At 38.7% G+C, this 18,901-nt stretch overlaps 1 protein-coding gene across 11 annotated transcripts in view; it reads right to left on the minus strand.

Moving 5' to 3' along the window:
• ATRX (ATRX chromatin remodeler) overlaps positions 1-18,901 on the minus strand; it is a 281,337-nt gene that overhangs the window by 183,534 nt on the left and 78,902 nt on the right. For 5 of the 11 annotated variants that reach the window (XM_005262156.5, XM_005262154.6, NM_000489.6 and 2 more), the window contains 5 exons: positions 10,161-10,216; positions 9,170-9,222; positions 8,164-8,291; positions 5,411-5,524; positions 405-514 (listed from right to left, as the gene is read on the minus strand). In XM_005262156.5, coding sequence (XP_005262213.2) covers positions 405-514; positions 5,411-5,524; positions 8,164-8,291; positions 9,170-9,222; positions 10,161-10,184 — 429 coding nt within the window. In that variant the 5' untranslated portion in view covers positions 10,185-10,216. The remainder of the gene's footprint in view (positions 1-404; positions 515-5,410; positions 5,525-8,163; positions 8,292-9,169; positions 9,223-10,160; positions 10,217-18,901) is intronic. The other 6 variants (XM_017029601.3, XM_005262153.6, XM_005262157.6 and 3 more) reach the window with 3 other exon arrangements.

The raw sequence follows: 18,901 nt of genomic DNA on the forward strand, positions 1-18,901 counted from the left end.
GAAAGATTATAAAACACAAACATTACACACATCCACTCTTGAGATTTTCAAACACACCAAGCTCTCCCTCAACTACCAGTATCTGAATACTATGTTGCCTCTTCCCAGAACATGATGAACCAATCTCACTTACCAGGCTGATTCTTATTCATATTTCACATACAGCTTTCCACTAGAAAGCCATCCAAATCCTATTTACACAGGCTTCCGGTGTGCTCCCATAATCACAGTATCTCCCCTATCATGACACTTAGGCTTTGTACGTCTATTTTCCCCACTATAGTAGAAGTCTTCCAAGGGCAGATACCATTTTCATCTTTCTTCAAGACTGTGCCCTCAAAGGCCTGGTATATGGTAAGCATTCAAATATTTACGGTATGAAATATCAACAGATCATTACATACCTTACAAATAAGAACTTGCAATGAAGGGTGTCTATAAATGGAATCTTTTTGAAAATGATTGACCTGTTGTCCACAAGCAGTGCAGCTCACAATCCCATGAAGCCCATCTTCTAGGAGAAAGGAGTGGCTATTATTCACACATTTATACACAGAAAAAGATACTTACTTTAGTCAGCATTTTGTAACTTTTGTATTAGACATGAAATACCTCATAATCCTTAGAAAAATGGCATATTGGACACAAGTAAAAAAGGTTAATATTTTATCGACTTACTAAGCACATGACAACCTTGGCAAATTCCAAGTTACAAATCCTAATTGTTTCCTTTTACAGATGCAAATGCCATTTTTTACAACTTGAAATAACATTAAGAGAACCCATAAAAAGTTCTAAAACTAGGGGCCAAGAGCTCTTATTTTGTTATTGCTTTGCAAATAAATTCAGTATCAGTCCTTAAAGAATGGGGAAGTAAGTAACATATACGGAACAGATTCTTTTGCAATCCTACACTTAAGTATGCCATAAAGGTTTTTATTCTCATTGGAATTGTCTGCACAGATCCTATCAATATGGTATGTAAAAACTTGGTAATTTTATGATATTACCAATTTCCTTGCTAATATTTACTTCAACACTATACATAAATTGTCATTAAACTGCCTTTTTTCTATGTGTACTCCACTATCCACTCCATATCAATACTGTCTACTATTTCCAAATAAAGACAAACAAGACATTGCAGGTATATCTATTTTGGCAGCAAAACATCAGAACGACTGGGGGAAAAAGGCAGAGTCCCATTCTGTACTGTCTCCTGATAAACAGACTGAAGAAAACCTACAGAAACCTCTCCAGCCTCCCTCTTGTCCCTAGTTCTGCTAAGGCAGTGTTTCACACCCTGAGCTAAACATTAGAGTCATCTGAAGAATCTTTTTAAAAACAGCCATTCCCACCCCTAAACCACTGAATTAAAATCTCTCAGGCATTTTCTTAAAGTTTCAAAGATGATCCTGATGTGCAACCAAGACCTTGATCAAAATAAGATGGTAGATTATAATTCAGAAGTCACTCAAAATGCTTACATTCACAAATAAAAAGGAGACAACTAAAAAACAAATTGGCTCCATCCTTAAATAAAAAACAAAACATCACATATATTTTTCACCCTTTTAATTTTCTCTTTTGGGTTTCTGTTAGGTTTAAGGTCCAAAGCGCCATGGACCCAAATATTATCATGAATATTTTTATTTGTAGAAACTTTAAAAAAATTTTTAAGAGCTAGAGTCTCACTCTGTCACCTAGGCTGGAATGCAATGGTGCAAATTCAGCTCACTGCAGCCTCTACCTCCCAGGCTCAAGCAATCCTCCTACCTCAGCCTCCTGAGTAGCTGGGACTATAGGCATACACCACTACACCCAGCTAATTCTTTTTAAAGACTGGGTCTCACTGTGTTGCCCAGGCTGGTCTCCAACTCCTGGGCTCAAGCAATCTTCTGGCATCAGCCTCCCAAAATGCTGGGATTACAGGTGTGAGCCACCACACCTAGCCAGAAGCTAAAAACGTTAATGTATAAGAACACCATCATACTTTTTTAGAAAAGTAAACTTGAAGGTTTACTATTTATGTTGCTAATATTTTTATTTATTTATTTTTTTAATTTTAAAGATGGGGTCTCAATCCATCACCCAGACTGGAGTACAATGGCACAATTATAAATCACTGTAGCCTCAAACGCCTGAGTTCAAGCAATCCTCCTATCTCAACCTACCTAATAGCAGGCATTACAAGCCTAATGTATTATAATCACATTATTTACAAACACCAGTTTGATCTTGGGTATTCATATATTCTGTATTTGTTTTAACAGAAACAAATACACCACACCATACTTTTTCATTTCAAACAATGATTTCATTCAGATAAACTAACAAGATAAATAAAATGTAGAATCTGAATGTTCATCCAGTGTTAAGTAATACTTACTAAGTATCTTCTATGTGCTTTGGTGCATACATCGCTCAAGAATTAAACAAAACTAGGTAATTCTTTGGAGATTTTCTCCCACATGTGCACAAGGAATCAAATATAAGGATATTCACCACAGCACTAATTAGAAAATTAGAAAATGAAAAATTGGGAATAACTTCCTATGTGGGAAATGAATAGTGGCTTATTGATATAACATAATTCTATAGAGCAGTGAAAAATAAACAAACTAGATGTACATTTACTGACATGAATACAATTCAAAAACAATGTTAAATGAAAAACGTTCCCAAATGATATATACAGCATATTATTTTGTTATACTTTTAAATGAAAAATGTTTTATGAATACATATATAAAAAACATAGAAAAACATGCACACACATGCACATGCATAAAACTTCAATATAATCATTACCTGTGGGGTGGGAAGAAGGGGAAATGGATGAGAGTAGGACTGAACCAATATTTTACTTAAGTGAGATCTGAAGCAAATATGGTAAAATGTTGAAATGTTACTTTATGTACTTGTTGCTGTATACATGTTTAAATTTTTTATTTTTAATTATGAAATATATTTAAAATTGTAACACAGGGTATAAATGGAAAAGAGGCATTTTCATTTCTGAGCTCAATAGATTTTAATGGTTTTAAATAGAACAAAATTATTGTGTCATGTAAAAAAGTTAGGTGTAAAATATACTTTCTAACAATTAAACTGGGAAGAGAATGTCAAAATAGGGTATGATACTGAAAATTTTTTAAAAAATCAGCTCCTGAAATGTTAACTTTAACCGTATCTTTGTGTTATAATATTATTCCAAATCAATATAAGACTTTATATATTGTCTTACATTCTTGTAATGTCTTACATTTCTTGTAATACAAGAAAGTTTACATTCTTGACAGTTTCCTAAGTTAGGCTTCAATTTGGAACCAGCTTTCTTAAAAAGTTTAAATATTAACTACACCAATTCAGTATTTCAGATCACCAATTTATCTATATATGTGTATATAAAGTAAACCTAGTGTTAAATTTCCTGTGTGATTTCTGACAGCTTAAAAATGTAACAAATCATTAAGATGAAAATAGATGTGAAAGATTTAAGTGCTACTGATGGCTATAAATGCATGTATTCCCTTAAGCGTGATACCAAAACATTCCTACACAGATCATTCAATAAAATGTTCCTGAAACTTATCAGCTGAGACCAAATGTCAGCAGCATACCAAAGTGGCACTAGGAATACCCTCGTCAACAACAGTGGTTCTTTTATTCTTTCAGCCCTTATCCACATTTCAGACACTGACTGCTACAGGGTCCCTTCCCAAAAATAACACCATTTAGACACTCTGTACACTAAGTGTACACAATGCAGAACACTTAGTTATTTGTCTTCTCTAGAGAACCTATGATCAGAGGAAAGAAACTCTTACTACTGATCTTTACCATCACTTTATAATTGAGGATTCTCTTAAATTTTAAGACTACTACCTTAGCTTTAATGAGCTCTGTTGCTGCAATGGCAGTTTCCCTACCATGAACTAGATTCTCAGAAAGATTCCTTATGCTCAAAAGGAGTTGACTACCCCTTTGTGGACAAAAGACTATATAATATTTCCTTTATTTTTGCCAACAACCTTACAAATTATTTAATCGGAAAATGAATATATAAAATATGTTATAAAAATAGATATATTTTACTGGTTCCAGCAAGATAATCATAGCATTAAAATAAAAATCCACACAAAATTTCACCAATATAAGAACTTCACTATAATTTCACAATTATATAATCTGATCAATATTAAATGGATATGCTTTCACTACACTTCTACTTAGAAATTTAGTGTCATGTTCTATCATTTGGAGATTCATTCCTTTTATAGTTATGAATTCTGGCTTTATTAAGCTGCCCCAAAATATATATAGGCACCATTTAAGAATCACACACAAACAAGTGGGACACATAGTCCACTATTATTTCTAAATGAATCCTTCTGATGCAAACTTTTTATAGATGGTTAGCCAATATTAGAGTGTGTGTGTGTGTGTGTGTGTGTGTGTGTGTGTGTGTGTGTGTGTTTTAATTTTTTTGAGACAGGGTCTCACTCTGTCATCCAGGCTGCAGTGCAGTGGTGCAATCACGGCTCACTGCAGCCTCGATCACCTGGGCTCAAGTGATCCTCCCACCTCAGCCTCCAGAATAGCTAGGACTACAGGCATGCGCCGCTATGTCCAGCTGATATTTTTATTTTTTGTAGATATGGGGTCTCACCATATTGCCCAAGCTGGTCTCGAACTCCAGGACTCAAGTAATTCTCCTGCCTTGGCTTCCTAAAGTGCTGGTATTACAGGTGTGAGCCACCACTCCCCACCGTTTGTGTGTTTAAGGGAAGATAGACAGACAAAGGGAGAGGTGCCTCTGGAAGACAGAGGGAGGGTTATCAGCTCTAGCTCCCTACTCCTTCCTACTTATGTCCATGTTGCCATTCTTAGATTAGTGGATTTGAAACTTCAGTGTACACAAGAACAAACTGGAGTACATTCTTGACCTCATCAACAGAAATTCTAATTTGTGAGGAGTGGAGTCAAGGGACTTGCATTTATAATACCCCAACTAATACTAATGCAGATGTACGTCACTCTATCCAACTCTAAATATATATAAAGTTACCTGTAGGCCACAGACAAGATTTTGCATGAATCTAAAATTATTTTAGGGTTGGGGGGAAAACATAGTATTATGGCATATATGTATTATAGAACATGTGGAAGAAGGAAATGCTACGCTTCTTGAGATAACTTAATAGCCACTGAAGGCAAAGGTGTTTCGATAAATGGTGCTTAACCTTTTCTGCTTCAGAGCTCAGAGAGAAACAGAAGTTATATTTAAGTAGTGCTTTTAATAAACAAAAGGCAGAAAAGTGGAGGTATTTTTAGTAAGCACATCCGATTTTCCAATATGGTCATAAACAGCAATTTAAATTCATGTTTCATTTTCACTTGTATTTACCTCCGCGTTTTTTGAGATTTTCAGTTTTCATTTTACTTCTGCTTCTAAATTCAGGCCCTTTAAAATCATCTTTGTCTTCATTCAGCACTGGCTCTGGCTGTACAATCACTGTACCTAGAATGATTTCATTTAAAAAACCATTACACATATTAAATGTGCAAGTGAAGTACAAGACTTCAGTTCAGATAAAGCCAACATTGCTGGTACATAGTTTGTTTCTTTCAAGCTTTAGATATTGGTGTAAGGACCTCACAAAAGTAAATAAAACAGGGAAATAGTAAAAGGGCCAGGTGTCAACAGTTTATTTGTTGAAATATAGTTCATAAAAACAGGAAAGGGAGGTATTATGGAGTGATTACAAAACAAATGTGTGAATCAAACAGAAAGCCTCAACCCAGTTCTGAATTTTTATAGTGCCTATCACAAAAGCTGTTATGAATATGAACATCTATGCTAAGTTCCATAAAGAATTCATAAAATATGTGTGGTTCAGAGGGAAAAAATTTTTAAAGACATCCTATTTTCATAATCCAAATCATAAACTCAGAAAGATTTTTAAGGGTAGTTTTATATTGCAAGGGAGGGGTATTGGTGGGGGAAATGAAGTTCATTCTATTACTCCTGTATCTATACTGCAGCATTTCCCAACTGGTATGTCAAAGTTTCACTACTCTGTAAAGTCCTTAAAGAGTTTTAACAGATTAAGATACTTTAGCTGAAGTACCCTAACAATAAATTGTAGAATGAGATCATTTGTTGATCCCTATGTTAATATTTTAGAAAGAATGTCCTTCCTTAACTATAAAACATGTGAATTGAAGAGAGAGGCTGTCAATTTAAGTTTTCATTAGTTCTCTCAAGAGCAAATAAGACAGGCATAGTAAAAAGGGTTTAGGTTTCAATGTTTACCTACATTGCTGGGCTTAGTAACTGGCTATCATTGGCAACAATTAAGGAAAAAAAAGCAGGTAGTCACCAGGGGCTTTCTCTGAAATATGGCTCTATGTTATTCAACAAGCAAATTTTGACAAGTTATAGCATCTAGTTGTTAAATGAGTTTCTGAGTCTCTGAAAGGGTGGGGGGGGGGAGGACACAGATGATTGAGATTTTACAGATTGTAGTAAAATTAAATAATCCCCACCAAAAAAAAGTTATTCACAGCAATCATTGCATGTAGACACTCAGAGAAGCCCCAGCATTTGAAAAGAACTAAAGATTTTAAATTAACAACAACGACAAAAAAAAAAAAAAACTGAATTCTCCCTAGATTTCTTCTAGGGAGAATTGGAAGCAAAGCAGCAGAGTGAAAAGAGCACTCACTAGGCTTTGGATTCAAGCAGACCTGGGTTGAAATCTTAGCTTCTCAATTTAAAGCTGAAAAAGTTCCTTGGGTTCTGAATTTGTTCCTTTATCTCTACAAGCAAAATAATAACTACCTTACAGTGTTGTTTTGAGGATTAAAGGAGTTAATTCTGTAAGAGCCTGGTACTTATACATACTCAATAAATATTACAACAATAATATAAACACCCAAATTTAACCTTATGAAACGGGTCTGTTTTTGTTTTGGTCTGACAGAATTAGGCATAGTTCAGGTTAGTAACATCATATGCTGACTTTCTTCCACAGTACAATTAAAACAAAAGTTTGAATTCCTATTTCTTACATCATAAACACTCCCAGTGACAACCACTGAGAATGTAAAAATCCAAAGTAAGTCACCACCTATGGGACTTAGACTCCCATGTTAGTTGTTTCTGCCCTTGGCCACCAAAACCATTACATAAAATTGTCATAAATGATTTGCAAAACTAAGTAAGCGGTAGGCCCCTATCTCTCTTCTTTCATTAATTTCCTTTCCTCATTTCATTTATCACCTTTTGTAACTTCTAATTTATCCTAGTCAAGGAAAGTCCCATCCCTCCTACCTACTGTATTTTTTAAACTTCCATAATTTGAAAATATGTCATAAAAACATAGACAGGGAACAAGGTTTAATAAGCACTGCTGTAAAAGATCTATGAGAATGAATTTGAAAAATGTGCCAAGAGACTACAACATATTATTTAACAAAGAAAAAAAATCTAAAATTTGACTCTTTGAACCAAGTTCCCTGTCATTCTCATCATCCAATTATATTGCTCTCAGACTTGAGCTATGAAGAGTCCAAGATATTCATTTGGCTATTGTTCCCTATTCTTATTAACAAGGTTTTATGGTTAGAACTTCAACAGTTGAGAGGTATGTGACAAAGTTTTTTAAAAAAGATAACAGCAAGAAATACAACTAAATCTATCTATGATAGTTAACTTCAGCTTTTAGCCTTAGGGAATTTAAGAATGCAATAAGACTAAACTAGACTGTACATGATTTTTAAGTTTTCAGGAACAGTCATTACATTTTTGTATAAAGCAAGCACATTAACATTGACTGAACCAAAACCTAATATATTAAATTTTTAAACCTGCTTACACACTGAAGTATAATTTGGAAACTAAAGCCCCTTGTCTAAAACTCAAAGGAAAGAAAAAAATAGATTTCATTCTTTACAAAACCAACTGAATATTCCAAATTTTTAACTTCAATAACACATATTATCATTGGCATACAAATATATTTCTAGACAACCACTAGGAAAATGCCATGTTTGGTCGTTTGTACATAGTTAACAGTAATCAAGTTCCAATTTTATAAAAATGATGTTTAAAAATTCATTTCAACTTTAACTTCATGAAAAATTAACACACATTACCTTTTGGCAAGCTCTGCATAGTAATATCATTTTCTGAATTTTCATTAGACGCATCTTCATTTACAGTTTCATCATCCAAAGGTTTTTCATCATCTGATTCTACATACTTTGTTACAATTGAAGGTTTCCTATGAAAGAATTAAGTTCATAGAATTATGAATGTTTCTGACAACTGGAACAATACCCAAAGAACATAAATAACATGTTGAGATTGAGCAGTGGGTCTCAACAAGGAAGCACATCAGAATCACCTAGGGAAGCATGTATGTCTATACCATATCACTGAAGATTATGATTCAGTAGGTCTGGAGCAGGACCAAGGCATACGCATTCTGAAAAAGCTACCAGGGAGACCCTGGAGGACACTCTTCTTTAAGAATCACTACTTCAGAGAATAAATTAATATCAAACAAGCTTGGTTTTTAAGAGACATTCCCACTGGTTAGAAACAATGAAAGTCCAATAGACTAAGCGGCAAACTTCTAATAACAATTATACTGCATAGTATATTGGGTACTACATTATGTTAGAAAAGTTTCAGTTTTTATGTATGACTTGAGTTGACAATTTAGCAGAAAAAAGTGTTTTTTACCACTCTTTTTTCTCCTTATAACTTACAACTATGATGACTAACTTCCCATCCTAGACAATTTCATATAACCCAAAAAACCCACTGCCTCATAGGCATTCAACAATTATTTTGTCCTTTTTCAAGGACATATATTGTCTAATGAAATAAACTACATATTGCAAGGGCCACTAATATATAATAAATCCTTAAAAACCCTTTAGAATTCAAAGTTAGAATGAATAATAATTGTTGAAATCAGGTGATAGATACAAAGGGATTCATTATATTATGCTAATCATTTTCAAATATGTATATTTGTATAGAATAGTTAACTCAGAATAGTGGTTGACATGAGTTCAGAAAAAAACATGGTTTTAGAAACAGAAAATAACCTGAAAAAGAAAATAACTTTTTGTCCCTTCAACATCAACCAACCTCTTTGATCGTGACGATCCTGAAGACTTGGATTTTTCTGAAGAGCTAGTTCCCTAGATGTGAGACATAAATATAAAAGTGAATAAAATTCTCGAAACGGCATCCCTACAATTAGCTATTTCCCTATAGCAACTTCAATACAGTGATATAATGAGATGCTATTTATGTGCCTAGAATATTTTTCTAAAAGGAACTTCAAAAACTAATTCTCTACCACATAAGGAACACAGATGCAAAAAAATAAAAATTAAAACTAATTCTCATTTACTGCCAGGTTTCCTTGGCTGAAGATTAAATTTCTCGTTTTTTACATGGTTGCTGTGGCATGCTGCGGGGAATACACTGCTGCAAAATGATCATGGCCCCAGTCAACAAAGACAAAACAAAGATGCAGAAGTAATCAGATCTCAAGAGAAGTAGGGAGTTTCAAGGATCTAAATATGTTTCATTCTTCTCTAAGCTAACATATGGCATGAAGTAACTTCTACAACTTGCTTTGAGATACTAAACTTACCCTCATTTTGCCAGTATAATCAATATATTTTACTGGATTCAGTTTTTTTTTACAGTAGGTCAAAAAATTCCCAAAACCACAGTTGTGGACCTGTGTATCAGGCAAAGGACCTTGTTATGAGTTGCTATAATAATGCTTAGCAGACTCTAGATACCAAGTTTTGAGAGATTTCACAACCATGGAGTTCATGCCCTTAACATCCACCTCAAACACCTTTGGGGCAATATAAAGACAGTTTAATATCTATCTGTTGGAAGTCTTCAGTTGTCTGACTTTAGGTAAACCACTGAAGTGAACCACAACAATAACAGAAACAATGAACACCTGTTCTCAAACTGGAAAACAACGAAACTGAAGTATAATGACAACTGGGTATCAGTAGCCTTCGACACATACATGTGTCCAGAAGCAATCTAAAGACATATGCTCTACTTGGTTAATCGTAACTAACAAATATCTCTAAATAATTATCCTTACCTCTTCCTTGCTGTTTTCCATCATATCAGAGTTACTTCCAGAACCACTGATTTTATCTAAAAAAGAAGAAATAAAGAACATTATTTATCTCTTCGATGCATTATCAAACAGAACATCAATACCTATAACTCCACAAACCCATTCTCACACTATGAAGTCTGGCAGTATTGTTAACATACTACTCACATTAAAATATTCCTAGAAGTGTTCTTTCACTAGAATCACTCTCCTTTTGCATACTAACCCCTCCTTATAAAGCATGAAATCTCTGTAAAGATTACTTTGGTATAAAAACATTTCCTGTTGTAGTTTATAAATATTGCAAGACATTTCCCAGCAGAAGAAAATTTAAACTATTACACTAAAAATAAAAAACATACTACCAATAAAGTATATTTCATTTTACCATAAAATACTGGGAAAATAAGAGCAAACTAAACCAAAATCAAGGAGAAGGAAATAATAAAGATTATGGCAGAAATTCATGAAACTAATGAAATAGGAAATAGAAAAGCAATAGAAAAAAAAAATCAATAAAACCAAAGAGTAGTTCTTTTCCTTTTCCTCCTTTTTTTTTAGAGATAGGGTCTCACTCCATTGTCCATACTGGAGTGCAGAGGTGCTATCATGGTTCACTTTAGCCTCAACCTCCCGGGTTCAGGTGATCCTCCCCTCTAAGCCTCCCAGGTAGCTGGGACTACAGGCGCGCACCACCACACCTGGCTAATTTTTTGTGGAGATGGGGTTTTGTCATGTTGCCCAGCCTGGTCTCTAACTCCTGGGTTCAAGTGGTCTGCCCACCTTGGCCTCCCAAAGTGCTGAGATTGCAGGCGTGAGCCACAGGCACCTGGCCAAAAACTAATTTTTTAAAAAGATGATCAAAGAGGACCTTGGCCATGAAAGTTGGAATCTGCTAGGGATTGTGTAACAACTTACCTGTGGGGGAAGAAAAGATGAACAAACTTTAGGGTAGACTGACCAAGAAAAAAAAGAAACAAGACTCAAGTTACTAGAATCAGAAATGAAAAAGAGGACATTACTACTAATCTTACTGAAATAAACGGATTATAAAGGAATACTATGAACAACTGTGTGCCAAAAAACTAAATAACTTACATGAAATGAACAAATTCCAAAACACAAACTACTAAAACTGACTCAAGAAGAAACAGGTGTGAACAGACCTGTAACAATTGATGAGATTAAATTAGCAATAAAAAAAGCTACCCATAAAGAAAAGGCCCAAATGTTCTCACCACTTAATTATAACAAACATTTAAAAAAGGACTAATACCAATCCTTCACAAACTCTTCTAAAAAACAGAAAAGGAGGCAACATTTCCCAACTCATTTTATGAAAACAGTATTGCCCTGATATAAAAAATATATCACAAATAGAGAAAACTACAGGCAAGTATCACTTATGAATATAGATGCAAAAGTCCACAAAAATATTAGAAAACTTCAAATCAGAAGACAGGCTAGAGACTGGGAGAAAATCTTCACAAAGTACACATCTGATAAAAGACAATTATCCAAACTATACAAAGAATGCTTAAAACTCAACAATAAAACAAACAACATGATTTTAAAGCAAGGAAAAAAAAAGAAATATGTGAACAGACACCTCACCAAAAAAGATATACAGACGCAAATAAGCACATGAAAAAATGCTCAACATGTCATTAGGGAATTGCAAATTAAAACAATATACCCCTGCATGCCTATTAGAATAGCCAAAATCCAGAACACTGACTACATCAAAACTGCTGAGAAGCATATGGAGCAAAAGAAACTATCATTTATTGCTGGTGGGAATGCAAAATGATACAGCCACTCAGGAAAACAGTTCAGCAATTTCTTACAAAACTAAGCATACCATATATAAAGCAGCAATCACACTCCTTGGTATTTATCCAAAGAAGCTGAAAACATACATCCACAAAATAACCTGCATGGAGATATTTATAAATGTCTTTATTTTATGTAAACATCTTCATTTACTTATATAAATATCTTTATAAGCAGCTTTATTCATAACTGCCAAAACTTAGAAGCAACCAAGATGTCCTTTAGAAGATGAATGGATAAACAAACTGTAGTACATCCAGACAATGGAATATTATTCAGCACTAGAAATAAATTAGCTATCAAGCTACAAAGAGACATGGAGGAAACAAATGCAGATTACTATGTGAAAGAAGCCAGTCTGGAAAGGTTACATACATATGATTACAACTATGACAATCTGAAAAAGGCAAAACTATGGAGAAAGTAAAAAGATCAGTGGCTGCCAGTGCTCACAGGGGAGAAAGGGATGAAGAAACAGGCACAGCACAGGAATCTTTTTAGGGCAGTGAAACTATTCTGTATGATACCACAATGGTGAATGCAGGTCATTATATATTTGTCAAAAATCTTTAAAATGTATAACACCAAGAGTGAACCTTAACATAAACTATGCATTTGGGGTAATAATGACATGTCAATGTAGGTTCATCAACGTTATATAACAAATGTACAACTCTCTTACGGAATGCTGATAGTGGGAGATGCTGTGCATGTGTGGAAGCAGGGACATATGGGAACTCACTGTACTTTTTGCTCAATTTTGCTATGAACCTAAAACAGCTCTTTAAAAATATCTTTTTTTTCTGGCCAGGTGTGGTGGCTCACACCTGTAATCCTAGCACTTTGGGAGGCTGAGGTGGGCAGATCACCTGAGGTCAGGAGTTCGAGACCAGCTTGACCAATATGATGAAACCCTGTTGCTACTAAAAATACAAAAATTAGCTGGGCGTGGTGGCATGCACCTGCAATCCTAGCTACTCGGGAGGCTGAGACAGGAAAATCACTTGAATCCAGGAGGTGGAGGCTGCAGTGAGCCGAGATTGTGCCATTGCACTCCAGCCTGGGCAACAAGAGCAAAACTCCGTCTCAAAAAAAAAAAAAAATCTTTTTTCTAATAAATTAAGGAAGAAAGGAAATTTTAAAATCTACAAAAACCCACAGGTAGGTAATATCATACTTAATGGCGACAGACTGAATGCTTTCCGAAACCCTTAAGATCAGGAACAAGGCAAGGAAATCTGCTCTCACCATTTCTATTCAACTTTGCACTACGGATTCTACTCAGAGCATGCATGTTAAAAAAAAAAATTGAAAGTCATCAGTATTTAAAATGAAGGTATGAAACTATTCCTATTAGAGGGCCAGGCGCGGTGGCTGATGCCTGTAATCCCAGCACTTTGGGAGGCTGAGGCGGGTGGATCACCCGAGGTCCGGAGTTCAAGACCAGCCTAGCCAACATGGCAAAACCCCATCTCTACTAAAAGTACAGAAATTTGCCGGGTGTGGTGGCGCATCCCTGTAATCCCAGCTCCTAGGGATGCTGAGGTAGGAAAGTCACTTGAACCCAGGGGGTAGAGGTTGCAGTGAGCTGAGGTCATGCCACTGCACTCCACCCTGGTCAACAAAGCGAGACTCTGTCTCAAAAAAAAATAAAAAATAAAACTATCCTTATTAGAATGTGACATTATCTCATACATAGAAGATCCTAAGGAATCCACTAAAGAATTATTGGAATAGGCTGGGCGCAGTGGCTCACGCCTGTAATCCCAAAACTTTGGGAGGCCGAGGCAGGCGGATCACCAGAGGTCAGGAGTTCAAGACCAGCCTGGCCAACATGGCAAAACCCTGTCTCTACTAAAAATACAAAAATTAGCTGGGCGTGGTGGCAGGTGCCTGTAATCCCAGCTACTCGGTAAGCCGAGGCAAGAGAATTGCTTGAACCTGGGAGGCAGAGGTTGCAGTGAGCCAAGATCGCACCACTGCACCCCAGCCTGGGGAACAGAGCAAGACTATCTCAAAAAATAATAATAATAATAATAAAAGAACTATGGGAATAAAATTAGTTCAGGAAGATTGATGGGTACAAGGACAATAAACAAAAATCAATGTTATGTCTATACACTTGCAATGAATAATCTCAAAATGAAATTAAGAAAAGAATTCCATTTATAACAGAATTAGAAGGAAATAATTTGAAAAAAAAAGAAGTACAAAACATACTCTGAAAATTATAAAACGCTATTGAAAGAAATTAAAGACCTAAATCAATGGAAAAACACTTCATGTTCATGAATTAGAAGATAACATTTTTTTTTTACTAGGGACAGAGTCTCACCCTATTGCCCAGGCTGGAGTGCAGTGGTGCAATTATAGCTCACTGCCGCCTCAAATTCCTGGGCTCAAGTGATCCTCCTGCCTCAGTATCCTGATTAGCTGGCACTACAGGCACATGCCACCATGCCTGGCTGATTTTTAAATGTTTTGTAGAGATGGGTTCTGGCTATGTTTCCCAGGCTGGTCTCAAATTCCTGTCCTCAAGTAATCCTCCCACCTCAGCCTCCCAAAGTGCTGGAATTACAGGCATAAGTCACCGCACCTCGCCAGTGATAAAACATTAAACATCCTTGAGATACAATTTACACACCATATAATTTACCCATTTAAAGTACACAATTCCTTCAGCCACCAGGCCAAGCCATAAGATTTATCATTCTTATGATGCCAGTGTTACAGAATCTTTGGGGTGTCACTTTTCTGGCCAGAAACATCTGCGGCTGGTGGCACCTGTGCCAGAGTTTTGCTCAGGCCTGCTGGGCTTGTCCCGCCTATTTGGCCTGGCCGGCTACACTCGGCTCATGCTACTGGCCTGTGTCCTATGATAGCCAAGGAAGACTGGATGAAGCAGCAAGGGGTATGTGAGCAAGTGTGGGGTCCGGTCACTGCGCAATCAGACATCCTGGCAGCTGCAGCAGGGCACGCAGCTCCAGGTGCCAGCATGGGCATCAGCTCTTTCTCTGTGAGGCTGCAGCTGGACCATGAACACCACAAGCAGCATCCACAGCTGGCACCAGGGAACACGGTGGCACCCAGAAGTTTGGAGACACCAGGAACCGCAGGCAGGGCCCCAAAGAGGGAGTCACAGCCCTGGCTTGGGGAGCTCCCAGGTCTGGGCTCCCCAGAGGGCTGCAGCTCTTCTTTCCTTCTCTTCACCTGCAACAAGGTGAGCAAGGGGCATGTCTCAGCCCTGTTTGTGTTACAGCTATTTTAGCCTCATCTGGCAGGTCCCAAGTTCTTGTCCTGCACCCAAGAAGAATGAGGTGCATAGAAAAGTGGAGAGTAAGCAAGATAAAGAGGGGCTTTATTGAGCAATAGAACAGCTCAGAGGAAACCCAAAGGGGGCAGCTCCTTTCCACAGTCAAGGTATCCCAACAAGTGTTCAGCTCCTAGCAGAGAGGGTGGTTCTTCTCTGCTAGGCAAGTCATTACTACAAGTGTTCAGCTCCTAGCAGAGAGGGTGGTTCTTCTCTGCTAGGCAAGTCGTTACTACAAGTGTTCAGCTATCAGCAGAGAGGGTAGCTCCTCTCAGCAGCTGATTATCCCGTCATCTGCACAGCTCTCAGGAGAGAGGAGGCCTGAGAGTGGGTGGCTTCTCTTTGCAGGCAGGTCATCCCATCATCTCCCCATCATCTCTCCTTCGTCTCTGCAGCTCTCAGTAGAGAGGAGGCCCTAGTATGAGTAGTACCTCTCTGCAGGAAAGTCGACCCATCGTCTCTGCAGCTCTCAGCAAAGAGGAGGCCCTAGAATGTGTGGCACCTCTTTGCAGGAAGGTCATCTTGTCACCTCTGCAGCTCACAGCAGAGAGGAGGCCCTAGAGTGGGTTGCTCCTCTCTGCAGCTGGTCATCCTGACATCTGTTCAGCTCTGGCTGAGCCTGGGGTTTTTATGGGCCTCAGAGGGGAGGATGTGCATGCCAATTGGTCCACAGGCAGGCCCAGAAAAGGCACCACAAGTTCCCACTCTGATCCATGCAACTGGCAGCCCAACCTCCAGCCTTCAGGCTTTCCCTGGCCTGAAGGTGGGTCCTCACCAGGGACCTGCCACCTTCCACTGAGGAACCTGTCTACCTCCTGCTGCCATTCATGGTGCCCAGGCTGTAGATGCAAGGGGGCACCTGCAGGCCAGTGCTGAACTGCCCTCAGCCCTGCCTCAGCTTCCCTATGTTTGTCAGTACCCAAAGTCCAGAGGGGGTCAAGGCAGCAGAAGGCTGGCATGTCAGCAGTTCCCCAAGCATGTGGATACCTGGCCAGGCTACGACAGCACCCAGGCTCGGCCCCAACTTTGCCACAAGATCAGAGCAGGTGCCAATAGCAGGGTGAAGCCAGGCAGCAGGAGCAGGCACTCCCAAGCCTATGAGAGCAAGGGGGGCCTTCCCAGGCCCCAAGAGTGCAGAGACACCTGGGTCTGCAGCCCCCCCATGATTTGGGTGGCTGCAGCTGCACCCAGTGGGGCAGGGCTCCTGCCTGCCCCATAAAGCAGGAGGCCCAGGTCTATACCCACAATTTGGGCAGCTATAGCTGTGCCCAGGAGGGTGGGACTCCAGCCTGCTCCATAAAGCAGGAGGACCAGATCTGCAGCCATGGTTTGGGTGGCTGCGGCTGCACCCGGGGCTCCTGCTGCACCCAGGGCTCCTGCCTGCTCGTGGAGCAGAAGGCAAGGTTCTGTAGCCGCAGTTTGGGAGACTGCAGCTGCACCCGGGAGGGTGGGTCTCCTGCCTGCTCCATGGAATGAGAGGCCTGGGACTGCAGCCACGGTTTGGCCAGCTGCAGTTGCACCTGGGAGGGTGGGGCTCCAGCCTGCTCCCAAGACTCAAGAGCACAGGGATGCCCAGGTCTACAGCCATGCTTAGGCAGCTGCAGCAGGACCCAGGGAGCTCCAACTTGGAAGGGGCAGGGCTCCTGCTTGCCCCTGGCTCCCACCAACTCTATAGACCGTGCAGCCCTGGCCACGTCTCCCTGCTGCAGCCAGTGTGATGGCAGCAGCCACTCCAGACGGCCCACCGCTGCCATCACCAATACTCCACAAACTAATCTACAGACACGCTGCAATCTCTGTCAGAATCCCAGCTGACTTCTTTGTAAAAATTGACAAGCTCATTCCAAAATTCATATGGACCAGGCATGGTGGCTCAGACCTATAATCCCAGCACTTTGGGAGGCCAAGGTGGAAGGATCACTTGAGGACAGAAGTTTAAGAACAGCCTCAGAAACATAGTGAAACCTCATCTCTACCAAGAAAAAACAAAGAGTTAAAATTCATAGGGAATTGAAAACATTCAGAATAGGCAGATAATTTTGAAAAATGAAAAGTATGAAGACTCACACTTCCTAATTTTGCCAGTACTGCACAGACTTGATTGCCAGTTTTGCAAAACTACACAACAACTTTGGTGCAACTTTGCACAAAACTGTAAAACAATGCAATCAAGACCGTGGAGTACTGGTAAAAGGACAAACAGAATTAAGAGTCCAGAAATAAACCCATATATCTATGACCAGCTGATTTTTTTTTTAATTTTTTTTTTGGAGACAGGATCTCACTCTGTCACCCAGGCTAGGGTGCAGTGGTACAATCATGGCTCACTGCAGCCTCAGTCTCCTGGGCTCAAGTGATCCTTCTGCCTCAGCCTCCTAAGTAGCTGGGACTACAGGCACACACCACTACGCCTGGCTTTTTTTTTTTTTAATAGAGATGGAGTCTCACTGTGTTGTCCAGGCTGGTCTGGAACTCCTGGGCCCGAGTACCCCTCCCACCTCGGCCTCCCAAAGTGCTGGGATTACAGACATGAGCCACCATGCCCAACAGTCCCACTGATTTCTGACAAGGGTGGCAAGACCATTCAATGAAGAAAGAATTGTCTTTCAATAAATGGTGCTGAGACAACTGGTTAGAAACCTACAAAAAATGAAGCTGGACCCCTACTTCGCAACATATACAAAACATTAACTCAAAGTAGATCAAAGACCTAAATTTAAGAACTAAATCTATAAAACTTTTAGAAGAAAACATGGGGGTAAATCTTCATTACCTTCAATTTGGTAATGGATTCTTAAAGACACCAAAAGAATGAGCAACAAAAGGAAAAACAGATAAATAAAAGTTCATCAAAATTAGTAACTTGTGCTTCAATTAAAGACAACCCAACTGGGTGCAGTGTCTCACGCCTGTAATCCCAGCTACTTGTGAGGCCAAGGTGGATCGCCTGAGGCCAGGAGTTCAAGCTCAGCCTGGGCTACATGGTAAGACCTCATCTCTAAAAAATAAAAAAAAAAAAATACTAGCCAGACATGGTGGCACACAACTATAGTCTCATCTACTTGGGAGGCTGAGATGGAAGGATTGCTTGTACCCAGGAGTTCAAGGCTGCAGTGAACTATGATCTTGCCACTGCACCCCAGCCTGAGCAACAGAGCAAAACCCTGTCTCTAAAAATAAATAAAGACAACTCAAAGAATAGGGGAAAATATTTCCAAATTATATATCTTATCCAAGTGTCCATTGAAATATGAATAGATAAACAAAATGTGGTATATACATACAATGGAATGGTATTCAGACTTCAAAAGAAATGAAATTTTGAGATATACTACAACATGGATAACCTTCAACACATTGTGCTAAGTAAAATATGTCAGAAGGACAAATATTGTAGGATTATACGTATATGAAGTTCCTAGAGTAGTCAAATTCCTAGGAAGAGAATGTAGAATGGTGTTTGCAAGGCTAAGGAGAGGGAAGATTGGGGAGTTAGTATGTGATGGGTACAGAGTTTCACTTGGGGAAGATGAAAAAGTACTAGACATGGATGGTGGTGGTGAATGCACAACAATTTTAC

Source organism: Homo sapiens, chromosome X (genome assembly GCF_000001405.40).
Source record: "Homo sapiens chromosome X, GRCh38.p14 Primary Assembly".
Taxonomy (NCBI): Eukaryota; Metazoa; Chordata; class Mammalia; order Primates; family Hominidae; genus Homo; species Homo sapiens.